The sequence below is a fragment of the Homo sapiens genome, chromosome 22 (assembly GCF_000001405.40).
Source record: "Homo sapiens chromosome 22, GRCh38.p14 Primary Assembly".
In the NCBI taxonomy this organism is placed as follows: Eukaryota; Metazoa; Chordata; class Mammalia; order Primates; family Hominidae; genus Homo; species Homo sapiens.
Window position 1 is genome coordinate 43,131,076 of NC_000022.11, and position 20,459 is coordinate 43,151,534.

General features: G+C 52.2%; 1 protein-coding gene across 3 annotated transcripts, besides 4 other annotated features; it reads right to left on the reverse strand.

Moving 5' to 3' along the window:
- Positions 1 to 1,130: 1,130 nt before the first annotated feature.
- MCAT (malonyl-CoA-acyl carrier protein transacylase) lies at positions 1,131 to 12,323 on the reverse strand. 3 transcript variants are annotated; one of them, NM_173467.5, is made up of 4 exons: positions 11,851 to 12,323; positions 10,087 to 10,174; positions 6,006 to 6,223; positions 1,134 to 2,411 (listed from the first exon to the last, which is right to left on the reverse strand). In NM_173467.5, exons 1-4 carry the CDS (start codon positions 12,271 to 12,273, stop codon positions 1,968 to 1,970), a joined length of 1,173 nt encoding a protein of 390 aa, NP_775738.3. In that variant the 5' UTR covers positions 12,274 to 12,323; the 3' UTR covers positions 1,134 to 1,967. The 3 variants fall into 3 exon arrangements, 2 of the variants coding, with proteins under 2 accessions (NP_055322.1, NP_775738.3); NR_046423.1 differs by lacking the exon at positions 6,006 to 6,223 and having other exon boundaries at positions 1,131 to 2,411; positions 11,817 to 12,322; NM_014507.3 differs by lacking the exon at positions 6,006 to 6,223 and having other exon boundaries at positions 1,131 to 2,411; positions 11,851 to 12,322.
- Positions 6,364 to 6,533: an enhancer, noted in NCBI's record as "experimental_63425 CRE fragment used in MPRA reporter constructs". NCBI's record gives its function as "activates a minimal promoter by MPRAs in K562 erythroleukemia cells, with activity observed for the introgressed 22:43533530 variant allele {active_cell/tissue: K562}" and the evidence as "EXISTENCE:reporter gene assay evidence [ECO:0000049][PMID:34662402]".
- Positions 12,078 to 12,347: a silencer, noted in NCBI's record as "silent region_13855". NCBI's record gives its function as "represses an Ori minimal core promoter by ATAC-STARR-seq in GM12878 lymphoblastoid cells {active_cell/tissue: GM12878}" and the evidence as "EXISTENCE:reporter gene assay evidence [ECO:0000049][PMID:35858748]".
- Positions 16,817 to 17,026: an enhancer, noted in NCBI's record as "active region_19185". NCBI's record gives its function as "activates an Ori minimal core promoter by ATAC-STARR-seq in GM12878 lymphoblastoid cells {active_cell/tissue: GM12878}" and the evidence as "EXISTENCE:reporter gene assay evidence [ECO:0000049][PMID:35858748]".
- Positions 20,236 to 20,455: a silencer, noted in NCBI's record as "silent region_13856". NCBI's record gives its function as "represses an Ori minimal core promoter by ATAC-STARR-seq in GM12878 lymphoblastoid cells {active_cell/tissue: GM12878}" and the evidence as "EXISTENCE:reporter gene assay evidence [ECO:0000049][PMID:35858748]".

The window sequence follows — 20,459 nt, forward strand, 5'->3', positions numbered from 1 at the left end:
GGCCAATTTTTGTATTTTTAGTAGAGATGTAGTTTCACCATGTTGGCCAGGCTGGTCTTGAACTCCTGACTTCAGGTAATCCACCCGCCTCAGCCTCCCAAAGTGCTGCAATTGCATGTGTGAGCCACCGTGCTTGGCTGGAGACCACTCTTGTTGGCCAGAGGTGGGCGGGCTTGTGAGTGAAATGTAAAGGCATCAGGCCAGGCCAGGATGTGCTCAGCAAAGACAGGCTGAGCCCTGATCTGGACAGAATGTTGTTCCATGGAGAACACTTTTTTTTCACAATGGAGTCTCGCTCTGTCACCCAGGCTGGAGTGCAGTGGTGTGATCTCAGCTCACTGCAACCTCCGCCTCCCAGGTTCAAGCGATTCTCCTGCCTCAGCCTCTCAAGTAGCTGGGATTACAGGTGCGCACTGCCATGCCCAGCTGATTTCTCTTACCCCTTCATGGGCTTGGATCTTGCCCCAGGCCATGAGGACAAGGGTAGTGCAGAGAGAGCAAGTGGTAAGGCCTGCTGTCCCTTACTGCTGTCCTCCTGGAGAGGCAGACCCCTCCCTTATTTGGGATTTTGTTCCTCAGAGCTGAACGTGGCCATCCTTCCTGCAGCGCTGCAAGAGAACCTGGACGTGGAGAGCCTGGGTCTCCTGAGGCTGCCATTGCTTGAAGCTTTCAGGGAAGGAGCTTCAAACATGCTCAGTACTTAAAATAATCAAGTTCTCTGTGCAATACAGATTTAAGACATAGTTCTTTCCAAAGAACTGTCGCACTCCCAGGGACGCGCATGCAGGCTGCAGTGGGAATCACATCGCATCGGCTTTTGTGTTTTCAGCCAGGGCTTCGAGACATGCAGGGTGTCTGGGGTCACAATGCCTGGAAGTGCTGCTGGTGTGTAATGGCCCGGCACCAGGGCAGCTGCCCAAGAGTGGGACATTCCCATATAAGGAAGGAGGGTTCTGCCCAAAGGCCAGCTGGGCCCTGCTGAGAAACACCAGAGAACTAAAAATGTGAAAATGAGGAACCCTATCCAGGACTTGACGTGTCTACACAATGGTAACATTTTAAGACAATCAGAGAGTTCATTCCCAATAATATTTTCCCACTATCTCTGTATAATGAACAACCACCCAAGCAGCTTGGAATGTCTCATACTTAATATTGGCGCAGGAGCTGCTCTGAGGACGGGGCATGGAGCCAGGGGTCAGCTCCGAGGCAGGTATGTGCTGTGCTCCCTCTGGCGCCCCGCAGACCCGCAGTCCCAGTGGGTGACCAGGGTGTTCCTCCATGGTTCCACCCCTAGGACCAGGGCCTCAGTCGCCCTCCCTACCTGGCACTCCCCACACCCCGCACCTCACTCAAGGACCTTTCTACCAGAACAGAGCGCACTCACTCTCTAGCACACAGCAGGCAATACATATCTCTTGGGTATGTCCATAAATGTGGGCCTCTGTCTCCCAGCTGTCAAGTGAGGAGGTGAACAAAACTGCCAAGGCCAACTGGGTTCTAAAACCTTTCAGATTTGTGACAAAGGAGCCCTGGGGGGCAGGCTGGGGGTGGTGGAGGGGCTCCCCTGGCACTGGCTGAAATTGAGGCCACACCAGCATGTTCTCAGCACTCACAGAGCAGGACAGGCTGCAGCAGCCAGTCCTCCCCTTCCCGCTGAGATGGCACACCTGCCTATGGTGCAGGGCTGGCAGAGGCGGGGCCAGGATTCTAGCTTCCCCACACACCAGCCCTGTGGCATCATTCTTCCCAACGTCCAAACGTTTTTCCAAGGGGGAGAAATGGACTGGGTCATGTAAAGAAATACTCATTTTTAGGGCTTTTTATGTGGCCTTCAAAGCACGTTGCAAACAAATCCCTTTCACTCCTCAGAGGAGGAGCCATTAGGAAGGTAGGGGGCGACAGGCACAGCCTACAGCCTCTCCTCAGGAGGACAGAGGGGGTCATCGCATTTGAGCCCCCTGCAGTCATCTCGGGGGCTCCTGAGGGTCCAGGTCCACATGTTCGAGGGTCTGCAGCACATCCACGGCGCTGTAGGACTTCCAGGCCTGCATGTTACAGCTCTTCAGGATGGCTCCCAGCTGCCTGCCAGGGCCTACTTCGAAAGTTTGGGGGAACCCCCTGCCCTTTTTCCTTTCGTATATGGCATGCATCGTCTGCTCCCACTTCACTGGGGAGACCAGCTGCTGGGCCAGCAGCTTGTGGATGTGCCCGGGATGCCTGTATCTATGCGCGTGGACGTTGGAGTAGACAGAAACCAGAGGCTTCTTAATGTCGACTGCCTTTAAAGCTTGCGTCAGGGGCTCCACGGCTGGCTCCATGAGGCGGGTGTGGAATGCGCCACTAACCGGCAACATCCTGGTGCGTCTGAAATGAAACTTAGAGGAATTCTTCTGGAGAAACCGTAGAGCCTGGGGAAGGAAGGAGGTTTCAGCCGAGCAATGTCCCAGAAATCCGCCTTTACAGATCTGACCATTCACAGGGCCAAACTGGGAGGGTGACCACAAAGAGACCCACAGCTGCTAGATGTGGACATGTGACCTGTCTGTCCCAGCACCATCCCCAGGCAATTCACTTAACATCCTGGAATCTCTTCTGTCCCAGCCTTCAAATAAGCACAGTTCCATCTACTTCACAACGCTGCCAGGAAGAGCAAACCCTACAAGGCATGCAACAGTGTCTGGTAGAGGAAAACGCACTATCTAAGAAGTGTTAGTTCTCAATGAGAATTCTTTTTTTTTTTTTTTTGAGACGGTGTCTCGCTCTGTGGCCCAGGCTGGAGTGCAGTGGCACAATCTTGGCTCACTGCAAGCTCCGCCTCCCAGGTTCACACCATTCTCCTGCCTCAGCCTCCCAAGTAGCTGGGACTACAGGCGCCCGCCACCACGCCCGGCTAATTTTTTGTATTAGCTGATCTCCAGACCTCGTGATCCACCCTCTTCGGCCTCCCAAAGTGCTGGGATTACAGGCATGAGCCGCCGCACCCGGATCTCAATGAGAATTCTATCACTCCTTTCATAATTTTTGACCAGTCTGTTTGCTTTTTATTCCATAATCTTCAAAATAAAAATTCAGAACTAAAATTCAAGCCCCATTTCACAATGCAGGGTCTAGGATATTGTCACTTTCATCTGAGGTTTCTCTGGAGAAGGAAAGAGCTCTCCTCTTGATGCCAAAAACCTCCCCTGAAGGCATTTGAGCTCAGAAGGGGCCTCGGGCGAGCCAATAGCTCCAAAACCCTTGCAACAGTGAGCAAGCAACAGAACTTGCAAAGGTCTTTATTATTTTTTGAGATGAAGTCTTGTTCTGTCACCCAGGCTGGAGTGCAAAGGTGCGATCTTGGCTCACTGCAACCTCCACCTCGCAGGTTCAAGCAATGCTCCTGCCTCAGCCTCCCGAGTAGCTGGGACTATAAGCATGTACCACCACGCCTGGCTAAGTTTTAGTAGAGATGGGGTTTCACCATGTTGGTCAGGCTGGTCTTGAACTCCTGGCCTCAAGTCATCCACCTGCTTTAGTCTGTCAGTGTTCCCTAGAGACTGTTCCTGTTGCCTGAGTCCTGGGCTGAAAAGCAGAACCCAGCCTGGCGAGCACAGACCAGGAGTGGGACCGGTGCTTGTGTGCTGTGACCACTGAGGTGTGGGCTACTTGTCACTGCAACAAAACCTGGCCTGTACTGACTCACCCGTGCTTCCCCTCCACCATCACCCTCCATGTGGCTCCATCCCACTGAGGCTGGACCGCAGGAACCAGGAGCCTCTTTGGTCTGGGCCTTCCAGACTCTGGAGCCCAAGCCCCTCCCTCCACACCTAGATTGTCTGAGTGACTGGCAGGTATGGGGATGGCTACTCAGTAGCACTTCCTGGAGCATCTGTGGTCTCAAAGTGCTTTCCGTGTAAGATCTCTGGACTCTGGCTCAACAGCTGAGCCCTCTCAAGTCCCAGGCTAGGGCCACAGGGCTCAAGGTCACCATCACAGGGGCCAGCAGTCTCCTCTCCAATGGCCAGTCCTTGGCCCAGGCATTGGGCGAGCAGGGCCCAGGAGCCTTTTCACATCAGTTGTTGGAAAGGGGCTTCCCCCCTGAGGGGGTACCCCTGCCCTCACCTGAGCTCTTTGCTGTGGCACTACCAAGAATACCAAAGGGAAGCTGGGCACAGTGGCTCACACCTATAATCCCAGCACTTTGGGAGGCCGAGGTGGGCAGATCACCTGAGGTCAGGGGTTCAAGACCAGCCTGACCAACATGGTAAAACCCCGTCTCTAATAAAAATACAAAAAATTAGCTGGGTGTGGTGGCATGCACCTGTAGTCCCAGCTACTTGGGAGGCTAAGGCAGGAGAATCACTTGAACCCAGGAGGTGGAGGTTGCAGTGAGCCAAGATCGTGCCACTGCACTCCAGCCTGGATGACAGAGTAAGACATTGTCTCAAAAAACAAAAAAAAAAAAAAAAAAAATCAAAAGGATGAACCTAGGAGTTGTCACCTAGACTGGGTGCACCTGTCTGGGAGCCTACTGGGGAGACTCCTGCCCTGACTGGGAAGTCCTTCCTGAGCCACTTCTGGGCTTCCTTCCAAGGCTGGTAAAGGGAACGCCTAACTAGCTCCAAGACTGACCTGGGGCCACCATACCTGACCTGCCCACCATCTCAGAACAGTCATAAGAGGCTCCTGCCAGCTCTCACTACTTCAGAGGAGGCAGTTGAGGACGCCTGGCACACGGTGAGCCCTCAAAGGGGAAGGGGAGCCAAGCACGGTCAAGTGGCGGAAACAGACTCCAGAGTGAGACAGACTCAGGTTCCCATTCTGCCTCTACTATCCCCAAGCACTTGCCTCTCTCTGCCTCAGCATCCTTGTGTGGAAAATGTGATTAAGAATCCCTTCCTTTAGCTGGGTGTGGTGGCCTGTGTCTGTAGTCCCAGCTACTTGGGAGGCTGAGGTGGGGGGATCCCTTGAGCCCAGTAGTTCAAGACCAGCTTGGGCAACACGGTGAAACCCCGTCTCTACAAAAAAATACAAAAGTTAGCCAGGTGTGGTTGCCCGTGTCTGTAATCCAAGCCACTCAGGAGGCTAAGGTAGGAGGAACACTTGAGCCCAGGAGGTCCAGGCTGCAGTGAGCCGTGATGGTGCCACCATACTCCAGCCTAGGCAACACAGTGAGACCCTGTCTCAAACAAACAAACAAAAAAAGAATCCCTTCCTTCCATATAGCACAGGATGGGCTGTGAGGGACATGAAGTAAGACAGAAATGCCTGGCCCGGGCAGCAGCCCCTCACACGGGCTGCAATCTGCGCTCACTCAGCATTCCCTGAGCCAGGCACTCAGCACCCACTGCTCTTTCTGTAGGGGGCTCCTGCCGCTCTGCTCAGGGTGCCCCCTGCTGGCAAACACATGCCCGTCCTCCAGCTGCTGCCTCCTGGGTTGCTCTTAGGCCCATGAGTAGCCAGCCAGACCCTCACTGCACCCCTCGGCCTGGAGTCATCCATTCACGGGGCTCTTCCTTTGACGGCAGGAACCCTGGCTAATCAGTCTGTGCGTCCCCAGCCCTTGATAAATGTTTGGGGAAGTAGCAAATGGAAGGAAATACGGTGGAAAGGAAATGAACTCCAGGGCAAAAACAGACACCTAAAAAAAGCAGGGCAGGCAGAGCAATCTAGCAGAAAACAAATCTCTTTTCTCTAAGGAAGCAACCAGATCACAGGCTCCTCAGAAGCCCAGAATGTACTACGGGAAGGGCCCTGGAGATCAGCTGGCCCTGCCCCTTTACTTTAGACATGGGCTGGCTGGTTGGTTCCAGACCCCATTCTACACGTGGTGGAGCAGGGCAGCATTCTTGCTCCTGCCTGCTTTGCAGCACTCGGTCTACCTCACTGCCCTGGCCCCAAAATACTTCCTAAAGACCGGGCTGGACCCAGCACCCGCCAGACTGCTAGGCCTCACGGGTGTGGAGCAGTTCCAACCCTCCGTACTGGACTGGCCTATGAAGGCAGTTCCCATCAACACCCACCTCTTGGTGTCCTGAAATCACCCTGCAATCTGGAAAGAGGTAGTTGGACACTTCACATACGGGGTTCTCTATGCCTAAAGACTTGCAGTGTTCCCGGGCTTCCAAACAGGCGAAGTTGAACTTGGACTGAGGCTGGCCGAGGACAGACAGCATCCCACTGGGGACAGCTTCTGAAGCTTCCTGCATGGCCTCAGCTCGGATTTTCACTGCATACAAACCTGGCCAGAGAGAAGCGCATTTGGAAAAATGAGGGCACAGAATGAAGGAGAAAAGGCCAGGCCTGAGAAACAAAGCCCAAGCTCCACTCTGCACTAGAGACAGGGGCACTGGTGTCTGCCACCAGCCAGCAGGGCCACAGTTCCACACACCTCCATCGACTGCACAAGCGCTCACCACCAAAAGTATGCTGCTGTGCTTGGCACTATACAAACTAACCCAAGGAGCTTCCTGCTATAAAGCTGGTTTGGAGTAGGACAGTGGTGCTCAACAGGCCGGGGGCAGTGTCCGGAGACGTTTTCCGGTTGTTCTGACTAGGGGAGAGTGCCACTGACGTCTAGTGGGTAGAGTCCAGGGATGCTGCTCAACATGCTGCACTGCACAGGTCAGCCCCCCTTGCCCCCAACAAAACAAATGACCTGGCCCAATAGCGCCACTGTTTTTTTTTTTTTTTAAATAGTGCCACTATTGAGAAACCCTGGTAAAAGGTAAAGAGGAACAGGGTGGAAGCCACATTGCCTTAGCCAAGTCACAACCTCCTTGAGGTTCAAATTTTTAGTTAGTAAAATGAGGATAATAATATCTAATCTGCCTGGGCTGTTGTGAAAGCTGGGAATTATTATTAGTTAGTTTATTAAGAGAGATCAGGCCGGGCATGGTGGCTTATGCCTGTAATCCCAGCACTTTGGGAGGCTGAGGCAGGACGGCTTGAGCCCAAGGAGCTCGACACCAGCCTGAGCAACATAGGGAGACCCTGTCCCTGCAAAAAATAAAATACAAATTAGCCAGGCATGGTGGTGCCTGCCTGTAGTCCCAGATGCTTGGGAGGCTGACACGGAAGGATCACTTGTGACCAGCAGGTTGAGGCTGCAGCTGTAGTAAGCTATGATTGCTCCACTGCACACCAGCCTGGTGACAGAGCAAGACCCTGTCTCAAAACAAGAACAACAAAAAAGAACCATCAGAGACATGGGCTACTGTACTACATGAATTTCAGTGACATAATTGTCATAAGTCAAGTGTTACTGTCCCCACTTAGAGCTGGAGAACCTGACACAGCCAATGCAGATGAACGAAAACCTATGACTCCTGATTCAGTGTGGCTCAAGAGCATGGAGAGAGGGCAGGCAGTGCCAATGATAATAAGAGTGGCCTGAGGGCTGGTCGCTGTGGCTCGCACCTGTAGTTCCGGCACTTTGGGAGGCCAAGGCAGGCAGATCACTTGAGCTCAGGAGTTCGAGACCAGACTAGACAACATGGTAAAACCCTGTCACTACCAAAAATACAAAAATTAGCCGGGCGTGGCAGTGTGCGCCTGTGGTCCCAGCTACTTGGGAGGCTGAGGTGGGAGGATTGCTGGAGCCCAGGAAGTTGAGGCTACAGTGAGCTGTGTTCATGCCACTGTATTCCAGCCTGGGTGACAGAGCGAGACCCTGTCTCAAAAATCCCTACAAAGCCACACATAAGAATGGCCTGAAACTACCAGACCCCTGACACCCTGGTCCTGCTTCCTGGGCAGAGAGAAGAGATGACCAGACTGAGAAGAGATTAAGGGACCTGCACAGTGTTTCACAGGTCAACAGAGAGGTCTAAGGAGCAAATCCTGACATATCTTCATTCACTTAGCACTTCTATGTACTGGACTTTTAGCTCCCTTACACAAGAACAGGAGGACAAATACATAAACAGCCTGTGACATCAGGTACTTAGGAGGCTAAGGCAGGAGGACTGCTTGAGATCAGGAGTTAGAGGCTGCAGTGAGCTATGGTTGCATCACTGCACTCAAGGCTGGAAGACAGAGGAAAACTCTGTCTCTTAAAAAACAAATGAACAAGAGCCTGTGACAAGAAGTAGAAGAAAACATACAAGAAAAGGGAGGAGAGCACGCAGACATCCTCCCACAGAGACATTCAAAACTATGTAAAATGTCAAGGGAAAAAAGTAGGCCAGGCACAGTGGCTAATGCCTGTAAGTAATCCCAGCACTGTAGGAGGCTGAAGCTGGAGGATCACTTGAGTCAGGAGTTCCAGACCAGCCCTGGCAACATAGCGAGACCCCATCTCTACAAAAACTTCTAAAATTAGCTGGGCATGATGGTGTGAGCCTGTAGTCCCAGTTAGTCTGGAGACTGAAGCGGGAGGATCACTTGAGGCCAAGAGGCTGAGGCTGCAGTGAGCTACGACTGCACCACTGCACTGCAGCTGGGGTGACAGAGCAAGATACTGCCTCAAAAAAGAAAAAGAAAAAGAAAACACAAAAGTGTAACTATGCTATAATTCTGCACTTTTTTTTTTTTTTTTGACACAGAGTCTCATTCTCTAACCCAAGCTGGAGTGCAGTGGCACAATCTCGGCTCACTGCAACCTCTGCCTCCTGGTTCAAGTGATTCTTGTGCCTCAGCCTCCCAAGTAGCTAAGATTACAGGTGCACGCCACCACACCCAGATAATTTTTGAATTTTTAGTAGAGATGGGGTTTTACCACGTTGGTCAGGCTGGTCTCAAACTCCTGCCTTAGGTGATCCACCCACCTTGGCCTCCCAAAGTGCTGGGCTGGGATTACAGGCGTGAGCCACCACACCAAGCCTAATTCTGCACATTATGTACACATAAAATGATACATGTAATAAAATTGTTTCATAAAATGTGAAATTATGAAACTTTCCTTAATAATGTTATAACGCTTAAAAAAAAAGCACTGCAGTGAAATTCACATAAAATATAATTAACCACTTTAATGTGTATAATTCAGTGGTATTTGGGGTATTCATAATGTTGTACAACCACCAACTCTCTCTAGTTTCAAACACTCCATGTCCACTATGTAGGCACTCTCCATTTCTCCCTCTCCAGTCCCAATAACCTCTCGTGTTTCTATACTAGATTCTTTTTTGTTTGTTTTGGACAGGGTCTTGCTCTGTCACCCATGCCGCAGTGCAGTGGCACAATCGTGGCTCACTGCAGCCTCAGACTCAGGGGCTCAAGTGATCTTCCCTCAGCCTCCTGAGTAGCTGGAATTACAGATGCATGCCACTAAGTGCAGCTAATTTTGTGTATGTGTGTGTGTGTGACAGGGTGTCACTCTGTCACCCAGGCTGGAATGCAGTGGCACGATCACAGCTCACTGCAGCTTTGACCTCCTGGGTTCAGGTAATCCTCCCACCTCATCCTCCCAAGTACTCGAGCTGGGACTACAGGCGCACACCAACATGCCTGGCTAATTTTTGTATTTTCGGTAGAGATGGGGTTTTCACCATGTTGCCCAGGGTGGTCTAAAACTCCTGGGCTCAAACATCTATCTGCCTCTGCCTCCCAAAGTGCTGGCATTACAGGTGTGAATCACTGCACCCAACGTAATTTTTGTTTTTTGTTGGGGGCAGAGATGAAGGTCTCACTATGTGGCCCAAGATGGTCTGGAACTCCTGGCCTCAAGTGGTCCTCCTGCCTTGGCCTCCCAAAGCACTGGGATTACAGACGTAAGCCATGGTTCCTGGCCAGCAAAAATCTTAAGAAGTAAAACTGATATGGCTCCAGATCCAATATTTATTTACTCTTTAATTCAACGAATATCTACTGAACACATACTCTCGTGTTGCAGGTGCTGCAGGTATGAGTGCACAGGATAGCGGGTTAGACAGTTCAGCAAGCAGATTTCATGAGATTACAAAAATAAGGGAAATCCCTAATGAATCCTTCAGTCTTGAAAAGGAATCACAGCAAAGCCCTGTCCTCATGTGCCAATGTCACCCCTGTCCATGTGCTCCCTTCCCATCACCTGAGTGGGTCCAGTATCATTTTTGGCAGTGTCCCTTACCCCTAATGAGCCCAAGACCACAGCCTTGCATAAAACCAAACTCCTTCCTGTACCTTCAGCAAATTCCATGGCTCCGGCAAACACTAGGGCTGCAAACTCTCCCACACTGAATCCAGCAGCAGCAACACAGTTCTCAATCACCTGTGGGGACAGATGCAGAACGTGAGCCCTCACTCTCCTGGGGATCCCAGTTCCAGGGCTCTGTACCTGAGAGCTGGCGGGGTGTTCAGCATCTCAGTGAGCCAGGTTCTACGAACTTGGTGCACCAGCTGGAAGAGGACACACAAAAGTGACCTTGACAATCATTGAGTCCTGCCCCTTTATTTAGGAGGAGCTTTCCTGGTTAGTTACAGTCCATCAACTCCGTCCATGGTCACACTGACGCCAACCCAGGGCTCTGGATTCCCTTGCCATGGCCCTGCAGCAGGCTCTCAGGCCATATCGTTGTGCACAAGTTAAGAGCATGACTTTTTTTTTTTTGAGGCGGAGTTTTGCTCTTGTTGCCCAGGCTGGAGTGCAATGGCGTGATCTCGGCTCACTGCAACGTCCGCCTCCCGGGTTCAAGCAATTCTCCTGCCTCAGCCTCCCGAGTTGCTGGGATTACAGGTGTCCACCACCACACTTGGCTAATTTTTGTATTTTTAGTAGAGACGGGGTTTCACCATGTTGGCCAGGCTGGTTTTGAACTCCTGACCTCGTGATGCACCCACCTCAGCCTCCTGAAGTGCTGGATTATAGGCATTATAGGCGTGAGCCACCTCGCCCGGCCAAGAGCATTTTTATCTCATCTGTGAAATGAGGGAAGAACAGGGCCTACCCCAAAGGGCGGATGAGAGAATTATGTGAATATAATGTCTATACAGTGCTTAGCACAGACCCAGACTAGGGTAAGCAGTGAATGAATATTATGATGACGATTCAACAGGACCACTTAACTAATTCTTTTAATATCCCTGAGTCTGCATTCCTCAACCATCAAATAACAGTATTAACCTCACAAGGTGGTGTGAAGGTGAAATAGGGTAAAGGATCTCAAGTGCTAGCTTAACATTTACCGTCTTATTAAATATTAATAGCAATCAATCCACCACCTTCAAGTGAAGTGACATTCTCAACTCATCTCAATGTTCCTTCATTTAGGCCAGTGCAGTGGCTCATACCTGTAATCCTAGCACTTTGGGAGGCCGAGGTGGGTGAACCTGGGAGGATTTAAGTAAAGAATAAAAAAATTAGCCGGGCGTGGTGGTGTGCACCTGTGATCCCAGCTACTGCGGAGGCTGAGGCAGGAGAACTGCTTGAACCTGGGAGGCAGAGGTTGCAGTGAGCCAAGACTGCGCCATTGCACTCCAGCCTGGGTGACAGAGCAAGACTCTGTCTCAAAAAACAAAACAAAACGGGCCGGGCACGGTGGCTCATGCCTGTAATCCCAGCACTTTGGGAGGCCGAGGCGGGCAGATCACGAGGTCAGGAGATCAAGACCATCCTGACTAACACGATGAAACCCCGTCTCTACTAAAAATACAAAAAATTAGCCGGGCATGGTGGCGGGCGCCTGTAGTCCCAGCTACTTGGGAGGCTGAGGCAGGAGAATGGCGTGAACTCGGGAGGCGGAGCCGAGATCGCGCCACTGCACTCTAGCCTGGGCGACAGAGCGAGACTCCGTCTCAAAAAAAAAAACAAAAACAAACAAAAAAAAAAACTCGATCGAATGAGTAAGACGTGGGAGCCCCCGGAATGGCAGGCGGAAGCCTCTGGCAGGGCCAAGAGCTCAGGCAGAGCTCACCTTCCCCCTCCTGTCACGGGGCCTCGGGCCTCACCGAGGGCTGCAGGTGATGTAGTTTCTCGACAGCGGCCAGCGATGCCACGAAGATCGCGGGCTGACAGTGCACGGTGCGGTCCAGGGTCTCCTGCGGCCCGTGCAGGCTCAGTTCCAGCAGGTCGTAGCCCAGCACGCGGCGGGCGGCGGCGTAGAGTTCGCGGACGCGCGGGTAGTTGAGCAGACCGCGGCCCATGCCCACCACCTGGCTGCCCTGGCCCGGGAAGAGCAGCACGGAGCACTGGCCCGGCATTCGCCGCTCCGTCGCCGCCCAGGGCGCCTCCTCCTCCGCCCCGGTCGCATCTCGCAGCAGCTCCGCTACACCCTGGGCGCCCGGCGGAGGCACCGGGAAGCTCGAGGCGCCGCGGCGGTAGCTGGCGCCCAAGCCCCTGACCCACGCTACCCGTGCGACCCGGACGCTCATGGTCGGACACCTGCCCGCGCGCGTTACCGTGGCGACCGAGGCCCGACTGCGGCGGCGCGGCGCAGCGTGGTCCCTGACGCATTTCCTGCCGGGGCTTCCGGGGCACCGGGAGCGGGAAGAAAGGTTCCGCAGACGCTGGTTCCGCCCCGGCTCTGAGGCCCTTCGGGCTGCGTTCTGGGGTCCTGGAGGGACTCATGCGTTTACTTAAACAGCCATAGCCGTTGAACGGAACACGATGCCACACCACAGTGGGTCCTCAACAGATATTTATGGAATAAATAACGCAACGCAATGTAGTATTTACGCTTTCTACCTGGCACATGAAGAGCACTTGAAACTCTTCCACATTGATGGTTTTTGTTGTTGTCGTTGTTGTTGTTTGTTGTTGTTTTTTGAGACGGAGTCTTGCTCTGTCGCCCAGGCTGGAGTGCAGTGGCGTGTTCTTTGCTCACTGCAACCGCCGCCTCCCAGGTTCAAGCGATTCTCCTGCTTCAGCTTCCCGAGTAGCTGGGATTAACAGGCGCCCGCCACCATGCCTGACTAATTTTTGTATTTTTAGTAGGGACGGGTTCACCATGTTGGCCACGCTGGTGTCGAACTCCTGACCTCAGGTGATCCACCCGCCTCGGCCTCCCAAAGTGCTGGGATTACAGGCGTGAGCCACCGCGCCCGGCCAGCAACCACATTTCTTGCATATGATCCTCCCAACCACAGGAGTTGGCATGGCCGACCATCCGTTGCCAGTTCCCAACTATACAACAGCTCTCTTTTATAATGTTTTCTTACAAACCACACAGTGCTTGGCACATAATAAGCATCCAATAGATCTTTATGCTATTGAACAAAGCCTTGAATGTGTTTCAGATATTAGCTTATTTAATTCCTCACAGCAACGCTGTGATGGATAGCTGCTCAGAGATTGAGTGACAGGTGGTTAGTGACAGAATGGAGGTTGGAAATTGGGGTTATCTAATGTTAACCTAAAAGCAACTCAAGAGACACAGGCTCGGCCAGGCGCAGTGGCTCATGCCTGTAATCCCAGTACTTTGGGAGGCTGAGGCAGATGGATCACTTGAGGTCAGGAGTTCAAGACCAGCCTGGCCAACATGGAGAAACCCCGTCTCTACTAAAAATACAAAAATTAGCTGGGCGTGGTGGTGGGCGCTTATAGTTCCAGCTACTCGGGAGGCTGAGGCAGGAGAATCCCCTAAGCCCGGGCAGCAGAGGTTGCAGTGAGCCGAGATCCCACCACTGCACTCCAGCCTGGGTGACAGAGCAAGACTCCGTTTCAAAAAAAAAAAAAAGGCTGGGTGCGGTGGCTCATGCCTGTAATCGCAGCACTTTGGGAGGCCGAGGCGGGCAGATCACCTGGGGTCAGGAGTTCAAGACTAGCCTGGTCAACATGGTGAAACCCCCTCACTACAAAAAATACAAAAATTAGCTGGGCGTGGCGGCACATGCCTGTAATCATAGCTACCTGGGAGTCGGAGGCAGGAGAATTGCTTGAACCCAGGAGGCAGAGGTTGCAGTGAGCCCAGACTGCGCCATTGCACTCCAGCCTGGGCAACAAGAATGAAACTCCATCTCCAGAAAAAAACAAAAAACAAAAAAAATATATATATATACACACACACACACACACAGAGGACACTTTCAGGTTAAGACGCATAGAGAGAGCACTGCCTCTGGAAGCCCATAAATCCACAACAAAGAGATATTTAAAGATATAAATCCACAAGGACAGGAAGAACAGGAAAGGGGACCGCCAGCAGCAGAATCTCTGGAAGCTGGAAAGCAGGTAGGCTGGTATTACCTGACTGAGCTGATCTCAGACAGCTAAATCCCTCCCAGGAGTGGGGAAGGCTGCGAGCCAATCCTTATGCATACAACAGAATCCTCAAAAACTTAAGAACAGGTAGCAGCTGCTGCTGCTTCTAGATCTAAGAGTGAAAGAAGGCTAAAACAAAGAGGATTGTTTGGAGGTGCCTTTGAGAAACAGATCTTTAGGTCCCCTCCACCTCCCTAGCCACTGGGTGATGCCCCTCCCCCACTTTGGGACCCATCTGGGGTTTCACCGGAAAGGGACAAACAAAGGGGTCTCTGGGCCAGGCACAGTGGCTCATGCTTGTAATCCCAGCTACTCAGGAGGCTGAGGCAGGAGAATCGCTTGAACCCGGGAGGCGGAGGTTGCAGTGAGCGGAGATCACGCCATTGCACTCCAGCCTGGGCAACAAGTGTGAAACTCTGTCTCAAATAAAAAAAAGAAAAAGAAAAAAAGAAAATTATTGGCCAGACACAGTGGCTCAGGCCTGTAATCCCAGTGATTTGGGAGGCCGAGGCAGGAGGATCACTTGAGGCCAGGAGTTCGAGAGCAGCCTGGGCAACATAGTCACACTGTTTTCTTTTTTATTCATCAAAAGCAGATACTTGAAAGACCCTGTTTCTACAAAAGGAAAAAAAAAAAAAAAGCTAGGTACTGTGGCTCGTGCCTGTAGTTCCAGCTACATAGGAGGCTGAGTCGGGAGAACTGCTTGAGCCCAGGAGTATGAAGCTGCAGTGAGCCAGGACTGAACTATTGCACTCCAGCCTGGGTGACAGAGGGAGACCCTATCTGAAGAAAAAAGAAAAGAAAAGAAAAAAAAAAAGCCAGCGCAGTGCCTCACACCTGTAATCCAAGCACTTTGGGAGGCCGAGGCGGGCGAATCACCTGAGTTCAGGAGTTCAAGACCAGTGGGGCCAAACATGGCAAAACGCCATCTCTACTAAAAATACAAAAATTAGCCAGGTGTGGTAGCACATGCCTGTAATCCCAGCTACTTGGGAGGCTGAGGCAGGAGAAGTGCTTGAACCCGGGAAGTGGAGGTTGCAGTGAGCAGAGATCGTGCCACTGCACTCCAGCCTGGGTGACAGAGTGAGACTCCATCTCCAAAAATAAAAAAAAGGGCTGGGTGCGGTGGCTCACACCTGTTATCCCAGCACTTTGGGAGGCTAAGGCGGGCGAATCATGAGGTCAGGAGTTCAAGACCATCCTGGCCAACATGGTGAAACCCTGTCTCTACTAAAAAATACAAAAAATGAGCCGGGCACGGTGGCACGCGCCTGTAGTTCCAGCTACTCAGGAGGCTGAGGCAGGAGAATCACTTGAACCGCGGAGGCGAGGTTGTTGCAGTGAGCCGAGATTGCGCCACTGCACTCCATCCTGGGTGACAGAGCGAGACTCTATCTCAAAAAAAAAAAAAAAAGAAAAGTCGGCAAGAAAAGGAAGTTACGTGGATGCAGCTAGAGGCCATTATCCTAAGCAAATTCAGGCAGAAACAGAAAATCAAATACCGCATGTCCTCACTTACAAGTGGGAGCTAAACATTGATACACCTGTACATAAAGATGAGAACAATGGACACTGGGAACTCCTAGAGGTGGGAAGGAGTGAGGCAAGGGTTGAAAAACTGCCTACTACTGTTATGGTCACTATCTGGGTGACAGAATCAATTGTACCCCAAACCTCAGTATCACACTGTATACCCATGTAACAAACCTGCACATATACCCCCGAATCTAAAATAACAGGTGATATTAAAAAAAAAAAAAAAAAGACGGCCGGGCACAGTGGCTCACACCTGTAATCCCAGCACTTTGGGAGGCCAAGGCGGGTGGATCACCTGAGCTCAGGAGTTCGAGACCAGCCTGGCCAACATGGCGAAACCCTGTCTCTACTAAAAATACAAAAATTAGCCAGGCGTCATGGCACATGCCTGTAATCCCAGCTACTCGGGAGGCAGAGGCAGGAGAATCCCTTGAACTCGGGAGGCAGAGGTTGCAGTAAGCCAAGATTATGCCACTGCACTCCAGCCTGGGCAATAGAGTGAGACTCTGTCTCAAAAAAAAAAAAAAAAAAAAAAAAAGAGAGAGAGAAAAAGGAAGTTAGAAAAACAGCCCTAGAGGCCCTACATTCTGAGTAATAGGAGTTCCAGAAAGGAAGTGATTGCTGCACAACATAAATTTGAAAAGAAAGAGAAGTGAGAAAATAGAGGGAAGGAAATCAAAGAAATAATCCAACTTCTGAAAAGTAAAGAATGAGCTTCCAGCGGGAAAGTGCCTGTTGAGTGCAGGCACAGTGGAGGAAATGAAGCTGGGTGTGTTGGAGCTCGCCTGTAGTCCCAGGTACTCGGGAGGCTGAGGGAGAATTGCTTGAGCCCGGGAGGCAGAGGTTGCAGTGAGCCGAGATCGTACCACTGCACTCCAGCCTGGATTACAGAGTGAGATGGTCTCAAAAAAAAAAAAAAAAAAAAAAATTAGTCCCACATAGGGGAATATCAGTGTGAAACTGCAGAACTCTGGGGCCCAAAATCTTAAAAACTTTCCAGGAAGAACAAAATCGGTTACATATAAAGGATCCACAGCGTGGCCGGAGCAGGATTGCTTGAGCCCAGGAGTTGGAAACTTGTCTGAGCAACATAGCGCGACCCTGTGTCTACAAAAAAATAAAAACAAAACAAAAAACAACCAAAGACTTCCGAAACAGAATGGCTTTAGCCTGCTCAACCGCAGTGTGGCAGCTGGCCAACAGCATCTCTTCATGATTCTGAAGGACAACGATCTGCAGCTCAGCCAAGCATCAGCCATCTATGGGGTAGGATGCAAGAATTCAGCAATGTTACCTTCCGGGCAGTCTTTCTCAAGAACTCCTGGAGGATAGGCTCAACACAAGCAAGGGGGGACCAAGAAAGAGGAAGATGTGAAATCCAGGAAATAAGGACCCATGCAGGAGGGGGCGGAGGTGGTGAAGAAAGACCCGGGCATGGTGTGTGTACTGGACCTGTGCAGCCTGTCCAGCGGGGAGCAGCGTGACTTGAGATGTGTTGAGAGCTGGCATTACCAACATCCCTACTGCCATGCTGCTCATTTAGGTACAGAATGCCCCACAAGCTTGGCCCAGATTCTTTTTTTTTTTTTGAGACAGAGTCTCACTCTGTTGCCCAGGCTGGAGTGCAGTGGCATGATCTCGGCTCACTGCAACCTCCACCTCCCGGGTTCAAGCATTCTCCTGCCTCAGCCTCCCGAGTAGCTGGGATTACAGGTGCCCGCCACCACACCCTGCTATTTTTTTGTATTTTTAGTAGAGACGGGGTTTCACCGTGTTAGCCAGGATTGTCTTGATCTCCTGACCTCGTGATCCGCCCACCTCGGCCTCCCAAAGTGCTGAGATTACAGGCTTGAGCCATTGCACCTGACGCTGGCCCAGAATCTTGCCTGCACCTGACTGGTCCCTATCACAGGCTGAGGAAGCCCTGTTCTCGCCCTGCTGCCTGGGTCTGCTGAGGACACATGGCTCACCTGACAGGCCTCACCTTGCTCCTGAGGTCTGAGCACCCTACTCCTCAGGGCACTGTGAGCTCAGAAGCAAGAGACAGAACAGCTCATGCCCCTGACCATTTCCTGCTGAATGCGCATGCCACAGCTGTGCTCAACGTCCTCACAGGGGAGCCCCACCCACAACCATGCCCTCTGCCTGCCCCAGAGGGGCCTCTTGTCAGTGCCCACAGAGGCCGGGCCCAGCCTGTACCCCAGGCGCTCAGCTGAGTTTATCTTCCCGGGAGTCTTCTGGCCTGGCCATGGTGCCTGTTCTGCCCCAGCTGGGGGTGTGCTGCCTCTCTGCACACATAGTACTCAGGGAAACACACCCGGGTGGGATTCATAAAACCCTAAAGGAAAGCAAGGGCGTGATCAACCCAAGTCAAAGTAAAGGTGATCTCTGGGGAGGGGAGGAATCGCTGGGGAGGTCACCAGGGCGCTCCTAGGACTCTCGTAATGTTCTGGTCATAACTGGGGAATGGGCACACCTGGTATTATTGTTGTAATGTGTACACGTGTGTGGTTTTTTTTTTTTTTTTTAAATTGAGTTTTGCTTTATCACCCAGGCTGGAGTGCAGAGGTGTGATCACGACTCACTGCAGCCTCCACCTCCCGGGTTAAAGTGATTCTCATGCTTCAGCCTCCCGAGTAGCTGGGATTAAAGGTGCCCGCCACAACGCCCAGCTAATTTTTGTATTTTTAGTAGAGATGGGGTTTCACCGTGTTGGCCAGGTTGGTCTCCAACTCCTGACCTGAAGTGATCTGCCTGCCTCGGCCTCCCGAAGTGCTAGGATTACAGGCGTGAGCCACTGCAACCAGCCACATGTGTGTCTTATTTTTATTTTATTTTATTTTTTGTTTTGTTTTTTTGAGAAAGAGTCTCACTGTGTCACCCAAGCTGGAGTGCAATGGCGTGATCTTGGCTCACTGAAACCTCCACCTCCCGGTTCAAGCGATTCTCCTGTGTCAGCCTCCTGAGTAGCTGGGATTACAGGCGCCTGCCACCATGCCCAGCTAATTTTTGTATTTTTAGTAGAGACTGGGTTTCACCATGTTGGTTAGGCTGGTGGCGAACTGCTGACCTCAGGTGATCCACCGGCCTCGGCCTCACAAAGTGCTGGGATTACAGGTGTGAGCCACCACGCCCGGCTAAGAAGGGATTTTTTTTTTTTTTTTTTGAGACGGAGTCTCGCTCTGTCACCAAGCTGGAGTGCAGTGGCACCGTCTCAGCTCACTGCAACCTCTGCCTCCTGGGTTCAAGAGATTCTCCTGCCTTAGCCTTCCAAGTAGCTGGGATTACAGGCACACACCACCATGCCCAGCTAATTTTTGTATTTTTAGTAGAGATGGGGTTTCACCATGTTGGCCAGGCTGGTCTCGAACTCCTGACCTAGTGATCCACCCACCTCGGCCTCCCAAAGTGCTGGGATTACAGGCATGAGCCACCGTGCCTGGCCAGAAGGAATTTTAAAAAAGAAAAAAAAAAAAAAAAACAAAGCTGCCAGGTGCGGTGGCTCACGCCTGTAATCCTAGCACTTTAGGAGGCCGAGGCAGTGGATCACTTCAGGTCAGGAGTTCGAGACTAGCCTGGCCAACATGGTGAAACCCCATCTCTACTAAAAATACAAAAATTAGCCGGGCATGGTGGCAGGCGCCTGTAATCCCAGCTACCGGGAGGCTGAGGGAGGAGAGAATCACTTGAACCCAGGAGGCAGAGGTTGCAGTGAGCCGAGATTGTGCCATTGTACTCTAGCCTAGGAGACAAGAGCGAAACTCCGTCTCAAAAAAAAAAAAAAAGAAACCCAGAAGAAAAAGATGAATGAAGAATGGAACCAAGCCTGGGTTATCCTTGTCTTCAGGCCAACACAGTAAAAAATAGATTTATGTATGTTTGTTTTTTAATAGAGGAAGAGGCTCACAAAGGCAAAAATGCCAGGTCCTAGGAAAGCCATACTGCAGCCTGGCTGGTCCCCAAGGAGGCTCCTGGCTTCTGTGTCTGGGTAGAAGTAGCCACAGTTCTCCTTGGACCCTGCAGGATCAGTTTGGGCCAACGTGGCTGGTTCAGGCTGATGGGGCGTTGCCAGGCTGAGTTGTCTGGAGGGAGCTGGGACAGCCTTGAACTGCAGCAAGACAGCCATAGTGCCAAGGGCCTGGGGCTGGACACACCCTGCATGGGAGTGGACCTGGGCAGCTGGAGGCCACCTCTGGGCTGTGATGATGGCAGCCTCCCCTCACTGAGCGCCGAGCATCTGAGGGGTGTCCTGCCTGCATCACCGCGTTGCGGCCTCATCAGTCCCACGACTTTGTGCCCATTTTACAGATGAGGAGATGGAGGCCCAGAGAGCCAGTCAGAAAGTGGCTGGGCCAGGACTAAGAGTGCAGCGCGCTGCCTCCGTGCCCTGCGTCAACAGCTCAAGGAACTGGGGTGCTCCGGAAATGGGGCCAAGGCTGCTGGGCAGCAGGACGCTCAGGGCCTTGGCCTCAGGAGAGGTAATTCCCCACTCGGAGATCGGTCTTGTTGCTGCATTTTATAGATGGGAAAAGTGAGGCTAGAAGAGACGACAAACGACACGCCGTTGGACACACGGCAACGTTTTAGATGTTGGGTCTGGCCGGGCGGCCGTCACCGGTCACCATGGGGAGGAGGAGGAGCCGAGAGACTTGCTCGCGGCCGGGGGGAGGCAGAAGCGCGTCCCGCGGGAGAGGTGGCTTTGAGGAGTGAGCTCCCGGTCCCGCGGGGACGCGAGTGGGCCCAGTGCCCGGGCTGCCAGGCGGGGCGGGGCGGGGCCGGGCGACTGAGAGGGGCGGGGCCTGGCGGCTGGGAGGGGCGGGGC

Bases quoted from the DNA above. Each gene is read 5' to 3' on its own strand.
- MCAT (NM_173467.5), bottom strand. From the start codon at position 12,273: ATGAGCGTCCGGGTCGCACGGGTAGCGTGGGTCAGGGGCTTGGGCGCC. The intron at 6,224-10,086 runs GTACAGGAAGGA...CTCTCTGGCCAG, and splicing joins AGCCATGGAATTTGCTGAAG to GTTTGTATGCAGTGAAAATC. The intron at 2,412-6,005 runs GTGGGTGTTGAT...TTCCTTCCCCAG, and splicing joins TGATTTCAGGACACCAAGAG to GCTCTACGGTTTCTCCAGAA.